This window comes from Homo sapiens, chromosome 4, assembly GCF_000001405.40.
Source record: "Homo sapiens chromosome 4, GRCh38.p14 Primary Assembly".
Classification (NCBI taxonomy): Eukaryota; Metazoa; Chordata; class Mammalia; order Primates; family Hominidae; genus Homo; species Homo sapiens.
This window is the reverse complement of record NC_000004.12, coordinates 78,323,966-78,337,996: the sequence shown is the minus strand read 5'-3', so window position 1 is coordinate 78,337,996 and position 14,031 is coordinate 78,323,966. Positions and strand designations below refer to the sequence as shown.

The window sequence follows — 14,031 nt, the reverse complement described above, 5'->3', positions numbered from 1 at the left end:
ATCCACAAGTATTTACTAAATGCCCAAGGAGAAGCAGTAACATGAGTTTCCAGACATGAAACAAATGTCTCCTATAAAAGAGCTCATAAACTGAGGACAAAGAGCCCCCTTAAGCCTGGTATGAAGAGCCCCGGCAGCTGCCCAGTGATTTCCGAGGAGTCCACAGGAGTTTCACTCACCAGCACAGTATCCCACGAGGTTGAGGAACTGCTCTTCCCTGCAGCTGGTCCTGCAGTTACCATTGGTAAGAGAGATGTGAGGGTAACAGGAGATGCAGTCAGACTCCAACGGCCCATGACACTGCCTGCAGGTTGGGTGACACTCTGGCAGGGGGACGAAAACCAGGATTGGAATTAGCAGCTCAGCATGTATATGCGTGAAGTATTTAATGCATTCCACAAATTACATTAAAAGCAGACCTCCAACTCTAATCATCTTTAGAAGATTCCTGAGCAAGCCGGGCACACCCTTGGACCTGACCTAGAGACTGCATTTCTGATGTCAAGGGCAGTACTGTCCATGAACACAATATGGAATCTAGAACTATAAATATGTGAGAAATCGGCCACACATTCCAGAGAGACCAGCATGATCATCTCCATCTGTGTAAGTAAGGAAGTTCAAATCATAGTCACAGAGCAGAAACACGAGTGGTAGGACTCCCTGACCCTAACATACCATGACTCAAAGAATGAGTGGGACAGGGAGAAGAAGGGGACATTTTGCTTCTCAGAAATTTCTAGCAGATGAGGGGGGAATCCACACACAGCAAACTATACTGCAACTTCTCTCTAGAGTCAGGCACCATCCAGACACTCCCTTCAAGCCACTACCACTGGGATGCTTATTTTATCAGCAATACTTAATTAAAATACAAAGAACAGAAAAAGTCCTCTTTCTGGAGGTTATCGTGAGCTGCCTCTGAAGTTCAATTCCTTAGAGACAAAGTTATGCCAAAGCTATGTCTTCTCCAAAAAAACCACCAAATTAACAAGAGATACAACACTGAAACAAACCAAGAGAGTCACGGTAAGGTGTAAGCAATAAGGATAAGGGTGGCAAAGAATCAGAGGCGGCTGCAGCTGCAGCTGCATTGACGCTGCCAAGGGAGCAGCAGGAGCAAGCACATGGAAGCAGATTTAAGAACTTCTCTGCCAAGGACAAGGAGGTCTAAGCAGGTCTGAGTCCAAGAGGAGGGGATGTGAAGGGCTGGAGCTGGGTAGATTTTGCAGGAACTGATGAATTCCCTCCTGGCACGTGGCTGGTGGGAAGCAAAGGCACAGATTTCAAGTAAAGCCTCTGGATTCTGGCAAGAGGCCAAGAGAAGATAAGGAGTTATTTAAGAAAAAAAAAAAGCAAGCAAGCAAGAAAATAAACTGCTGATTAGAAGGATAGCACTCTCACCCCTCCTACATTCCTGAGGCTCTCAATGTTGAAAGCACCTATCCAAAAGACATAGCATTCTCTGGATGATTTCCAACACCCAGTTCTTCCTCCCTATCAGAATATTTCCAGTGACCTGGGTGCCCTGCTGCTTATGGTACCATCCATCTGCTGGCTCCCAGCGGAAAGAGGCATGGACAGAGAAGAGCTAGATCTACCCAGACTTTCCTCCCCTAAACAATTTTATACATACAAAAACCAGCTGGGCTAGGATGAAAGCACCTAAGGATAGAAACAGCTCTCAAGGGCAATCCTAATGACAAAGAAACCAGGAACATTCCCCCACTGAGCTTGACAGAGTATTTAAAGTAAAGCAACTCACCAGGGGACTGCAGAGATTAAAAAGACAGTTAGAAAAAGGCAAAGAATTCCAGAACAAATATAATATTGATCTTCAATCATCTAAATTTGTGTTCATTCTAAATCACTTCTTTGAAGTTTAAGGCTAGATGAATGTAACAGATATTAATTTATTTTAAAAACATGTCATAAGTTTATTACATTTACTGACTCCAGAAATTCATGTAATATAATTTCATATCAGTTGGCTTTTTCCTATCAGCAGGCCCCAACTGTCTATTTTTTAGAAATAAAAGAGAAATCATGATAGAATGTTTTTTTTCCTGTATATACCAAAAAAAAAAAAAAAACCACCACACACGGTGCTACAATAAAGTCCTTAAATTTTAGTACTGTGTCAATTCCAACAAAATTCTGTACTAATCCCAACTAGTGATTTTCAAAATCTCTGTCACTAAAACATAAAGGTGATCTTAAAAAACATACTGGACTGACATGTTAAAGAAGGAAATAAATACCTCCATCTCCTTTTGCTCTATTCTGCTGTAGCCCGGGGAAAGTGGGGCTGGGAAGTGCACAGTTACCTGTGCCAAATTCTTGATTCCATACAAGTGCATTAACACCCAAGGTAGCTTGTCTCCATGATGAAGATAATCAAATCCATCCCTAACTGTGTGCATAAGCCATTCCTCCACTGAGAGGTGTATTCTGTTCCTTCACCCGCTCAAATATGGGTTATCTTGCTTTGACCAACAGAATATAGCAGAAGTGACAGTGAGACTTCTTAGGTTAGGTGATAGGCAGCTTGCAGTTTCTGCTTAGGTCTCTTGAAATACTCATTCCAGGAGAAGACAGCTGACACATTAGAAGACTGACTAGCTGAGATTGCCATGCCATGAGGAAGTACAATTAGCCACGAGAAGAGGCCTCATAGAGTAAGAGATTGTTGACCAACCCAGGTGACAGACGTCAATGAAGAGCCCACCTGCAGGATCTGAAGAAAGAGCTGCCCAGCAATCCTCAGAACTGGGAAATATAACAATTGTTGTCTTAAGCCACAAATTTAGGGTGGTTTATTAGGCAATAATTGACAACCAGAGCAGTACCTCATTAAGAGGGAGAAAGTAAAAGATCGCCCTAGTGTCCTCAAGTGTCCCAGTTGCCAAATTTCATTTCTTATGTGAAAAGAAATGGAGCCAGATACAGTGACTCACACCTGTAATCCCGCGATTTGGGATGCTGAAGAGGGAGGATTGCTTGAGGCCAGGAGTTCAGGACAAGCCTGATAACAAGGTGAGACCCTGTCTCTACAAAAAATTTAAAAAAAATTACTTGGGCATGGTGGTGTATGCCTATAGTTCCAGCTACTTGAGAGGCTAAGGTAGGAGGATAACTAGAGCCCAGGAGTTCAAGGCTGCAGTGAGCTATGATCATGCCACTGCACTCCATCCTGGGTGACAGAGTGAGAATCCATCTCTTAAAAAAAAGAAAAAGAAATAGAATAATATGCAGCCATGAAAACGATAAATATACACACACGTATCTGTACATATAACATTTTATCACATAGAAAATTGCTTATGACAGCTGGGCATGGTGGCTCATGCCTGTAATCCCAGCACTTTGGGAGGCTGAGGCGGGTGGATCACGAGGTCACGAGATCACGACCAGCCTGATCAACATGGTGAAACCCTGTCTCTACTAAAAATAGAGGAGTTAGCTGGGTGTGGTGGCACGCACTTGTAATCCCAGCTACTCGGGAGGCTGAGGCAGAAGAATTGCTTGAACCTGGGAAGCGGAGGTTGCAGTGAGCTGAGATCGTGCCACTGCACTCCAGCCTGGTGACGGAGCAAGACTCCGTCTCAAAAAAAAAAAAAAAAAAAAAAAAAAGAAAATTGGTTATGACTTTATGTTTTGAAAAAAATATTAAAAAGTATAGCTCTAATTTATTCTCAATTATGTAACAACATGCATAAAAAGTAGATCAAAAAGGAATCTATCACCAGGGTAATATTTGTTGCTTCTAAGATGTGGCATAATCAGTTATCTTTATCCCCAAACCCCCATTTATTTTTCCTATTCTGAACTTTCAATCCTTCCACAATGAGCACATATCTTTTTAATAATCAGAAACATAAACTTTTAAACTTTTTTAAAAAGCCACAGGCTGGGTACAGTAGCTCACATCTGTAATCTCAGCACTTTGGGAGGCCAAGGTGGGAGGATCACTTGAGCCCAGGAGTTCATGTCTAGCCTGGGCAACACTTTTTCCACAATAAAAAATTAGCCAAGCATGGTGGCACATATGTATGGTTTCAGCTACTCATGAGGCTGAGGTGGGAGGACTGCTTGAGCCCAGGAGGCCGAGGTGAGGTTGCAGTGAGCTGTGATCACACCACTGCACTCCAGCTTGGCAACAGCAGAACCCTATCTCTCTCTCTCTGTCTCTCTCTCTCTCTTTAAGCCATAGCAACAAAGACTTATGCTGAACTAAGTTCTAGTTCTTTTAGGAAATAAAGGTCATTATTTAGTCCACGACAGGATTTATTTATTCAGATCATTGTCTTCCAGGCAAGAGAAAACCAAGTTCAGAGTTTATTCAAATATTATAGTTTCTAGGGTAAAGCTGATTCTAATGTTTTATTTCCATGCTTCCTTACTGGAAGAGCTAAATTTCACTTGTTCCCCTCCCTCTATACTTTGAATCTGCAAGTTCAAGACAAGGATTTACAGCTGAATCTTAGTCCCCGGTATGACAAGGTTTCTAATTACAGTGTCTGGCTATGCTCTGAAGACAAAACATGGTCATAGGCAATGTGCCTCAGCACATTACATACTCACCTGTGCAACTACCTTCCTGGTGAAAGTAGCCATCTGGGCACTGGGAGAGGCACTGCCCATCCAACAGCACATGGGAAGGCCCACAGTCTGTGCAGTTATGTGGGCTTTTCCCTGCACATCTGAAACAGGACTGGTGGCAAGCTGGGGGAAAGATAAAGCAAAGGAGACAATCAGGAAAGCCCCACGTGACACAGACAGTAACTCTATCTCTCCCATTAACATTCCTGGGTCAGAGTATGTTCTGTACATTCACTTGGTTTTCCCAATGACAGGCTGCACATCTCACACACTTCCCTCTAAAGGCAGTCTCCTGCAAAGCAAGCATTTGTGGAACTCAGATTAAGTAAAGCACATGTGCCTCAAAACAGAAATAAACATTTACAGAATCATACATTTCTTGCTTCCCAAGTTCCCATTCTCAGAGAATGTCAAATAAAAAACAGGAAGCCAGAAAACAGTTCTCCCTCCCTTGGGACAGCTGTCTATCACTAGATACTCTGCTGCTTATCGGGTTGCTCAAATCAAAGGGAAAAGCTGGTGAGAGCTTCACTTATTGATTTCACATAGGTTTATAAAGTGCCTACGCTATGATGGAGACTGGGCATACACAGATGAGAATTGCCCAACATGTTGAGCTGCTCAAACTAGTTGCTACAACAGACACCCAAGCAAGCTACTGAAATAGAATGAATGAAAGAGTATAGCACAGAGAATAAGAGCATCACAGCATAGCTCTATGTGACTTTGACTAACTCATTTCTCAAGGCTCCTGCTTCCTCATCTATAAAACAAAAATCCAAACAGAACATACTGCATGGGGTGTTGTGGACACTAATTGGGCTGATGCATGTGAATTCTTAGGATAGTGCTGGACACGTAGTAAGGGCTTAATAAATCTTGGCTATAAGCATTAGCATTAAGTGCTATGTTAGAACAACCCACAGGTGAAAAGAGACTAAAGGCAAAGAGAAAGAAAACATCTCTGCTAGCTTTCATCAGACCTTTAATGATAAAGGGGATAGTTGCATGACTTCTCAAGGGTAGCCATTGTCTTAATCATGCCTTTTTATTTTCTATATTTTTGATTCTTTGACATCTGAAACCAAGCAGATTTTGGAGAGACTGGCCCTCCCGGGGCTACATTCCTGGAGATAGTAAATGATTTCCTTGGGAGCATGCCTTTCATATGCAAACTAACTAGTCCAGAACTCACACTCCCACCACCTCCCTTATCATACGCTTACACTCCAGGCTACTATTCTTCTGCCTTGGGGCCAGGTACTAGACAACTAGAGACAGTCTCCATACCTCACAGACCGCTGTAATTATCCCAACTAGCCAATCCTAAGCCTGCTTACCCTACTTCACCCATTCCTTTCTACTGACGTTAGAATAAAGTCTCTTGCCCATGTTCCCCCCATCACCTCTGCCTCCTGACTGACCCTCGTGCTCCCCTTTGTGGCCTTTTATGCTATGAGGTGCCCCTTCCTCTTCGAAGCTGTAACAAACTTTTCAATGGCAACAGTCTCCTGATCTTCTGGCCTCAACACATCGGAATAATAAAAACTACATGTTAAAACAACCAGCCATTTATCTCCAATCATTCATTTGTCATTGAGCCTCAAGTAGCTTCAAGTACTGGGGATACAATAATGAGTAAGACAAAGACCTGGTTCTTCATGCAGATAACCCCATGCATTTCAGGCCATCTTCTGCCCAATGGACAAGATCCACCAGACTGCAGAGACACCCTCTGAGTACATTCACTGTGCCTCAGCTGGCTTGGAAGGACCAGAAGTGATTTTTCACCACTGAGATCTCCATTGCCACCAACCCCTAATAAGATGTAACATAGAATCTTTAATATATATATGGAGCTAATGTTCAGCTGGAATGTCCTGGTTCGTCAGTACTGGTGGTTAAAGTATTGAACTACTTCCATGCAGGTTGGTATATGACTGTTGCCCTAAGCCTTCCAGTGCTCTGCTGCAGCCTTGACCCCACCCCTAGCACCCTGCCCCACTCATAGCCTGACACCTACAGGCTAATACCCATACCAGGAGATTCCCAGGACTCTGCTCCTGAACTGAGGTCAATGCCATTCTCACTGGGCAGTGCCCCTGCCTTACTGGTTAATAAATATTTGATCATCATCCCCGGATATACTACAGAGCTTTATTCAAGAGTATTTTTTACTATATGATAAACAGAACCTAGAGACCCATATTTTTAATTAACGTTCTTTTTCTTAAATTAAATTTTATTTTTTAAGATTATAAAACAGCCCTATTATCGGGGAATCTGCCCCGATATTCACATAGGTTCTTTTCTATTTTCCTTAAGCATCGGCCAGCTTGAGAAATAAAGGGACAGAGTACAAAAGAGAGAAATTTTAAAGCTGGGCTTCCAGGGGAGACATCACATGTCGGTAGGTTCCGTGATGCCCCACAAACCGTAAAACCAGCAAGTTTTTATTAGGGAGTTTCAAAAGGGGAAGGAGGATACGAATAGGGTGTGGGTCACAGACATCAAGTACTTCACAAAGTAATAGAATATCACAAGGCAAGTGGAGGCAGGGCGAGGTCACAGGACCACAGGACCGAGGCGAAATTAAAATTGCTAATGAAGTTTCTGGCACCATTGTCATTGATAACATCTTATCAGGAGACAGGGTTTTGCAATCAACCAGTCTGACCAAAATTTATTAGGTGGGAATTTCCTCTTCCTAATAAGCCTGGGAGTGCTATGGGAGACTGGGGTCTATTTCACCCCTGCAGTCTCGACCATAAGAGATGCACACGCCCAGGGGGGCCAGTTCAGAGACCCCCCAGGCGCGCATTCTCTTTCCCAGGGATGTTCCTTGCTGAGAAAAAGAATTCAGCGATATTTCTCCCATTTGCTTTTGAAAGAAGAGAAATATGGCTCTGTTCTGCATGGCTCACCAGTGGTCAGAGTTTAAGGTTATCTCTCTTATTCCCTAAACAATTGCTGTTATCCTGTTCTTTTTTCAAGGTGCCCAGATTTCATATTGCTCAAACACACATGCTGTATAATTTGTGCAGTTAATGCAATTATTACAGGGTCCTTAGGCAACATACATCCTCCTCAGCTGACAGGATTAAGAGATTAAAGTAAAGACAGGCATAGGAAATCACAAGGGTATTGATTGGGGAAGTGATGAGTGTCCATGAAATCTTCACAATTTATGTTTAGAGATTGCAATAAAGACAGGCATAAGAAATTACAAAAGTATTAATTTGGGGAACTAATAAATGTCCATGAAATCTTCACAATCCACGTTCTTCTGCCATGGCTTCAGCCGGTCCCTCTGTTTGGGGTCCCTGACTTCCCACAACATCTCTCCCCTTCTTTTTATATAAATGTGCCATGGCGATGAAGGCTTGTTCATTCTCTCAATTTTGACACAGGATTCTTTGACTGTTCCGGCACACTAAAAACAAGCTGATTAAACAGAGAAACATAATTCCAAAATTTACTACAGTGGAGCCCCCAATAGACTTAATCCAAGTCATGGGGTTTAATCCATAAAGATTTTCTGCCACCTGATCTAATGCCTCAGCTCCAGGCACAAAGGATAAGTGAGCTTGAGAGGCTTCAAAAATTTGTTTCTTTAATTTAGTTATGTCCAATGATAAATTATCTTCCCTACCTAGAAGGTGTCCTTTGACCATTTCCCATGAATGGTCAGTCTCGTTATAGGAATAGGTGATACAGAAATCCGAAGTATTCCAATAGCACTGCATTTGCATGTGGTACTCGAGACTCACTACCCCATCTCCAAGCCACATAACAGACTGTCTTAAATCATTAATTAGATTTGCCAATTTCTGATCGATGCCTTGTTGAGAATTCCACATTTGGGTGAAATTGGCTTGCCAATCATTAACAAAATGAGCCGTTTGAATGGATTAGTGTAATGCCATTCCGGCAGTGGTGGCCATTGCAGTGACTGTAATTAGGCCCATGATAACAGCGATTAAAGTGAAAACAAATCTCTTAGATCTCTTTAGAATTCGCTGTAGCACTTCATTAATTAAATGCATTGAGGGGGAGGATTTCCAAGGTCTAGGTAAAGTTACCGGAATCCAGATTCCTTCTCGAGCTCGAACCAACATTACACTTTTCCTGGAGTCAAAATGGGAGTTAATACAAGTGTATAGATGACAATTAATGCATTGGACAATTTGGTTATTTGTCCAAATTTTGATATTTCCTACTAACAGCATGTAAGGAGGCTTAACACAACTCTGGATGGGAACAGTCAGGTTGGAGGTAAGTAAAGCAGAATGTCTGGGTCTACGTTGATACTGAGAGAGTGGGATGGTAGTGGGAACAACAGTCAGAATAGTTTTTCCTTCCCATACTCGCAGTTCAGACATGGCAATAGCCAATTTCCAAAGTTCTGGGTGTTCTGGGCTCAGAATGGGGAGTATCATACGAGGCCTGGTGGGGGTAATGCCTTTATCTTCCCATTTTAAGGGAAAGAATGAGCTGATCCTCCTATGCAAAGTAGAATGATGATTCTCATTCTCCTGATAAGAAATAAAATAAGTAGCCTCCAGGCATTCCCTTCAGCCAGAGGAGCAATTATTTTTTAAGTAGCCCTTTGGTGCCCAGTCTATTACTAAACCGTATGAGTCATTTTTTAAAATTACTGCATGTGAGTTAACACAATCTTCCCAAATTAAAGTTTTAGATGGGCCCTCAAAATTTTTAGGGCATGGTTTCACAGTTAGGAATTTTTTCCCAAATATTTTCAGACTCCTTTTACAAAATGAATGAACTGATGTTTAAGAAAATATTATTATAAAAGAAGGATATACTTTAGCACCTTATTTAAGACATGTTTAACACAAAATAAAACAGTATGTAAAGGAAAGTGAGGTGGCAATGCTTTAAAACACAGCTAAATAATATTGTTAACACAAAGCTTTGCAGAATAATATGGGGGAAGCATCTTGAAGCAACAGATTTTTGCACACCTAAATATATGTCTGATGATACCATTAGGTTTATATCAGACTTTACAAGATTGCTAAAATCCCTAGCTCTTCCTGTTATACCTCCTTAATAAATAGGAAATCAAAGTGTATCACTGTGGAATTAAAAACTAGAGAAAGATTAATTAGTGCATTATGAGTACAAACATTTCATTTCATTTGGTCACAAAACGAATGTAATAGCCTTACTCAATGTGCACAAAGGTTATTTTTCAATTATATACAACAGGAAAGTAAAGAAGACAAACAAGTTGAAAGGCTTGTGGGCCAAGAAGTCCAGAAGAAAGTCCCTTTGCATCCACTAGATTTTAGAAATAAGCTCAATGAACGTTGCCATGACAGTCTTCAGAAGACTTCATTGGAAATGTTTAAGAACTAACTAGATAATGAACTAGTTAGTTGCTGTGGGTACAGAGGGAAAAGAATACGCTGGATGACAATCCTCTTAAAGTATCTTTTTTCTCTATAATGCTCTGTTTCTGCAAGTACAGGTGTTAACATCTGCATCCTTTAAAAAAAAGTCATGAAATTTCAATTCCGTGCTGGTTTTGGAAATATCGACACTATTTCAGTGACTTATATGAGGCTTAATCATTCTGTGGAAGCTGATTTCATAGCAGGAGTTCTGTCTGAAGTCTAAGATCCTTCAAGGAAGACTGAACCCATTACAGAGCATATATGGGAGATATCTGAAAGAAGTTCTATGAATAATTCCTCCATGCAATACTACATTTTTAGAGACTGCCTTTCCAGTTGATGGCTAAGTACATATATTTCTGAAAAAGCATAAGTGAGCTGCTTAAGCACTAAAAAGTGTCCTTAGATGACTATAAAGTCCAGCCAACCTGACTTCAGCAAAAACTGTACCTAAAATAATTAAACTTATCAATTTTTATTCATTCTATTTTCCATGTATATTTCAAACAACCGATACTACTATTGTTTTTCTTTTTAATGATACAACAAAAGTGATAAAGTGTCCCTACTTTCATATCATACAAAATTTCCTGGCTTTTCATGTCAAAAACAAATTTTGAGTGGGCTTCTCTCAAAATATGATGTAGATATCAAAATCCTCTAGACTCACAACGGGAGTACGGTGATAAGGGCTAAAAATTGAAATGAGTACCCTCCTTTTCCTTCTTCTCGTTACTTTTTGTTTTCTTCTTGGTGAAAGGGTCTTGCTCTGGCACGCAGGCTGGAGTTCAGCAGCATGATCACAGATTTCTGAAGCCTCAAACTTCAGGCCTCCAGCAATCCTTCCACCTCAGCCTCCCAAACCACTGGGATTGTAGGTGTCAGCCACTGTGCTCAGTCTTTTTGTGTTTTCTTTTTTTAAATGAACATGATTCAACATCCCCAATCTCTCATTCTGACTAGATTAGAAATTCTTTAAGAGTAAAAATCACATCTTTTTCATCTCTATGATCCCTGCAGTGCCTATCACAGTCCCTTTTCCCTGTCATGTCATAAATTCTCAATAAATGAATTTCTGCTGACTAAATGGGTGGCCAGGTAGTGTGTGTGGGGGTGGATAGATGGATGAAAGCATTGGCATCATACTTATCTACTTCTTCTGTCTTTGAAAATTTCTTTCAGCCTCTTTCTCTAACCACCTCATAAATATTGAAGCTTCCCCCAGTTCCACCCTTTATCCTTCCTTTTCTTACTCTTGGGCAAACTTTTCCATAGATTTAATGATGACTTCCAAGCTAGTAAGTCCTAAATTTATGTGTACAGCTTTGGCCTTTAATCCTGAACTCTGATCACATAAATCTACTACCTAGGAGATATCTTTTCTGGGTGTTTCAAAAGTATCTCATATTCCTCACTTCCAAAATACTACTCTGCATCTACTTCTAAGCTCATCCTATATGCACTTAATGTAAATTGTGGACATCAGTCCAAAACTTTACTCACTATCTATCCCCAACCCCACATCCTACTCCCCTACCTGCTATTTCTTTTCTATTCCCTATCTCACTTGGTAGCTCCACCTTTCACCAAGTTACTCATGCTGAAACCTTGGAGTTATCCTAATCTTCTACTTTTCTATCACCACAACCCATTTAAGCTCTGTTGATTTTACTTCCTAAATCTCTGTTAAATCTATCCCACCTTCCCACAGCCCCTTAATAAGGATCTTCAACATCATTCATGACTTGGGTTAGTGCAGCAGCTTCCTAACCAGCCCTACCCTGTTTCTGCCTATTTATCTGCCACACATCCACCAGACGATCTTTATAAAATGTGAATTGACCAAATTTTTTCCCTACTTAAAATCTTTTAATAGTTTACCAGTAACAACAGTGTGAACTCTAAACTCCTTAGCACAGCACATAAAGTACGTCATGTAATGTCCCACACACACCCTGCATCTCCAGCGTCATTCTGCACAATTCTCCTCTTTGGACTTTATACTATAAGAATACCAAACACGCTGTACTTCTCCAAACCCGCCTTTGCACTTACTGTTTTCTTGGCCTAGAATGCCCTTTCTCACCTTCTTCACCTGGTGAACTCCCATTAATCCTTCAAAGGCTTAATCATAGAAAGTTTTCCCTCTACAAATCTTTCCTCACTACCTTCCCTCCTAGACAGAGCCCGTCTACTTTGTGCTATTTCAGTCCCTTGTGACTACTGCTATTATGGCATGTGTCATGCTCTTTTCATTGTTTGCTTAGACATCAGTCTCTCCTAGTTGATGATGCTTTCCTTCAGGCATGGCCTGTATTTTTTTCATCTTTCTATCCCCAAAGCCTGGCACACCCATGCTATAAAAGCAAGAAGGGGAAAGTGAAGAAGACTGAACATTACCAGAAGGCACCTATTTGTACAGCGCATGTCAGCACTCTAGGGACTACATTAAAAGGCATTGCTTAATATAGATTCCATATGCTTAATCCAATTAATGCAAGAGAATTCCAACTTCATAAACGGTAACATACTCTTAAGCTGTACAGGCAGATTCCTGCCCACGTATTTTTTTAATTAAAACTCTTTGCCTTGAGGCCTTTGGTGAGTCTTAGCAACAACTAAATGATCAAAATACACAGAGCATGCTTTATTTCTTCCCATTCACCTAAACCAAGTTAATTAATTGACCAAAATAACTGGTGAATTATTTTTTTAAAAACTGATACTAAACCTGTAGCAATTTTGTGCAATTTTGCTCTGTGCAGTAAGACCCAGCCCTAGGAGGCTGGAAATATTTAGTTGCTGAAATTCCCCTGATAAATCCCTGACCAAAGTTCCATCACCAATCTAAGTACAATGAAAAGGCAGGGATGGGACTGCTGGGATGTTTATTATCTCTGCATTCTTTTTTAAAACACTGTGTTTCTTCTGAGATAATAAATTAGACAATGTGTAAGTAAAACTCATTATTGTTGTACAGAGTTCATTTTTAAAATAAAAACTTGTAATGTCTTCAAAATTATATCATATTTAATCCTCATGCTGAACTGCATGGAAATTGAAAGACTCCATTATTAATTTACCATGGAATGGGGGTAATTACATGGCTAATCTAATCATTCTGACCATGTTCATATCCAGTCCCAGTCACCACTGCCAAATTGTTTAATGGCGACAGAGCTGCATTATTAATTGGATGGCCTGGCCTGGAATTAAATTGTAAAGCTCTAGTGTGACATGCAGAAAAAAAAAAAAAAAAAAAAAAAGGAATCTGAGCTTAATAAAAAGAAAGTAAGTAAATTAGTTCTGGGCAACTATGTCCTATATTAGAACCCAGGATCCCTCATTGCTAAATCATTCTTTACTTGGTTCCTTCTAAGCATCACTTTTTTCATCTATAAAGTAGGAGTAGATATATGCAAACTTTCAAGATTTTCAACAAAATTATTGGTTGTGATGACTTTCTAAACTACAAAGGGATATATACCCACATGTATGTGTGTTCGTGTGTGTGTGTTATATAAACAACTGTCAGAATTTATGCCATAAGATTAAAAGTAGTAATCTCAAAATGAAAGGGTTATAGGTAGTGTTGCCAGATAAACACAAGACGCTCAGTTAAATATGAATTTCAGATAAACGACAAATAATATTTTAGAATATCTTATGCAATATTAGGGATATGCTTATACTATAAAAATTATTCATTTTTTAAAACTTGCTAAAGCCTGAATTTTTATTTGCTAAATCAAATTTAGTAATAGGTATTATTTTTCTTTTTCCCTTATTTATACTTTTTAAAGTTTCTGTAATATGTATAATGCATGCAGTGAGAAAAAACAAAAACGAGGATGTTTTACTAACTCTTTAAGAGAGAAAGAAGTATGCCAGTGCTGAAGTGATATGCTGCTTCTTCTTTGATTAGAAGCTTTGCTTCTCCAAACTGTGGTCCAGGGATCAGCAGCATCAGCCTCACCTAGGAGCATGTTATAAATGCAGCAACTCAGAC

At 40.3% G+C, this 14,031-nt stretch overlaps 1 protein-coding gene across 2 annotated transcripts in view; it reads right to left on the bottom strand.

The window, feature by feature from the left end:
- FRAS1 (Fraser extracellular matrix complex subunit 1) overlaps positions 1–14,031 on the bottom strand; it is a 486,947-nt gene that overhangs the window by 206,273 nt on the left and 266,643 nt on the right. For both annotated transcript variants that reach the window (NM_025074.7, NM_001166133.2), the window contains exons 19-20: positions 4,585–4,725; positions 180–323 (exon numbers count right to left, since the gene is read on the bottom strand). In NM_025074.7, coding sequence (NP_079350.5) covers positions 180–323; positions 4,585–4,725 — 285 coding nt within the window. The remainder of the gene's footprint in view (positions 1–179; positions 324–4,584; positions 4,726–14,031) is intronic.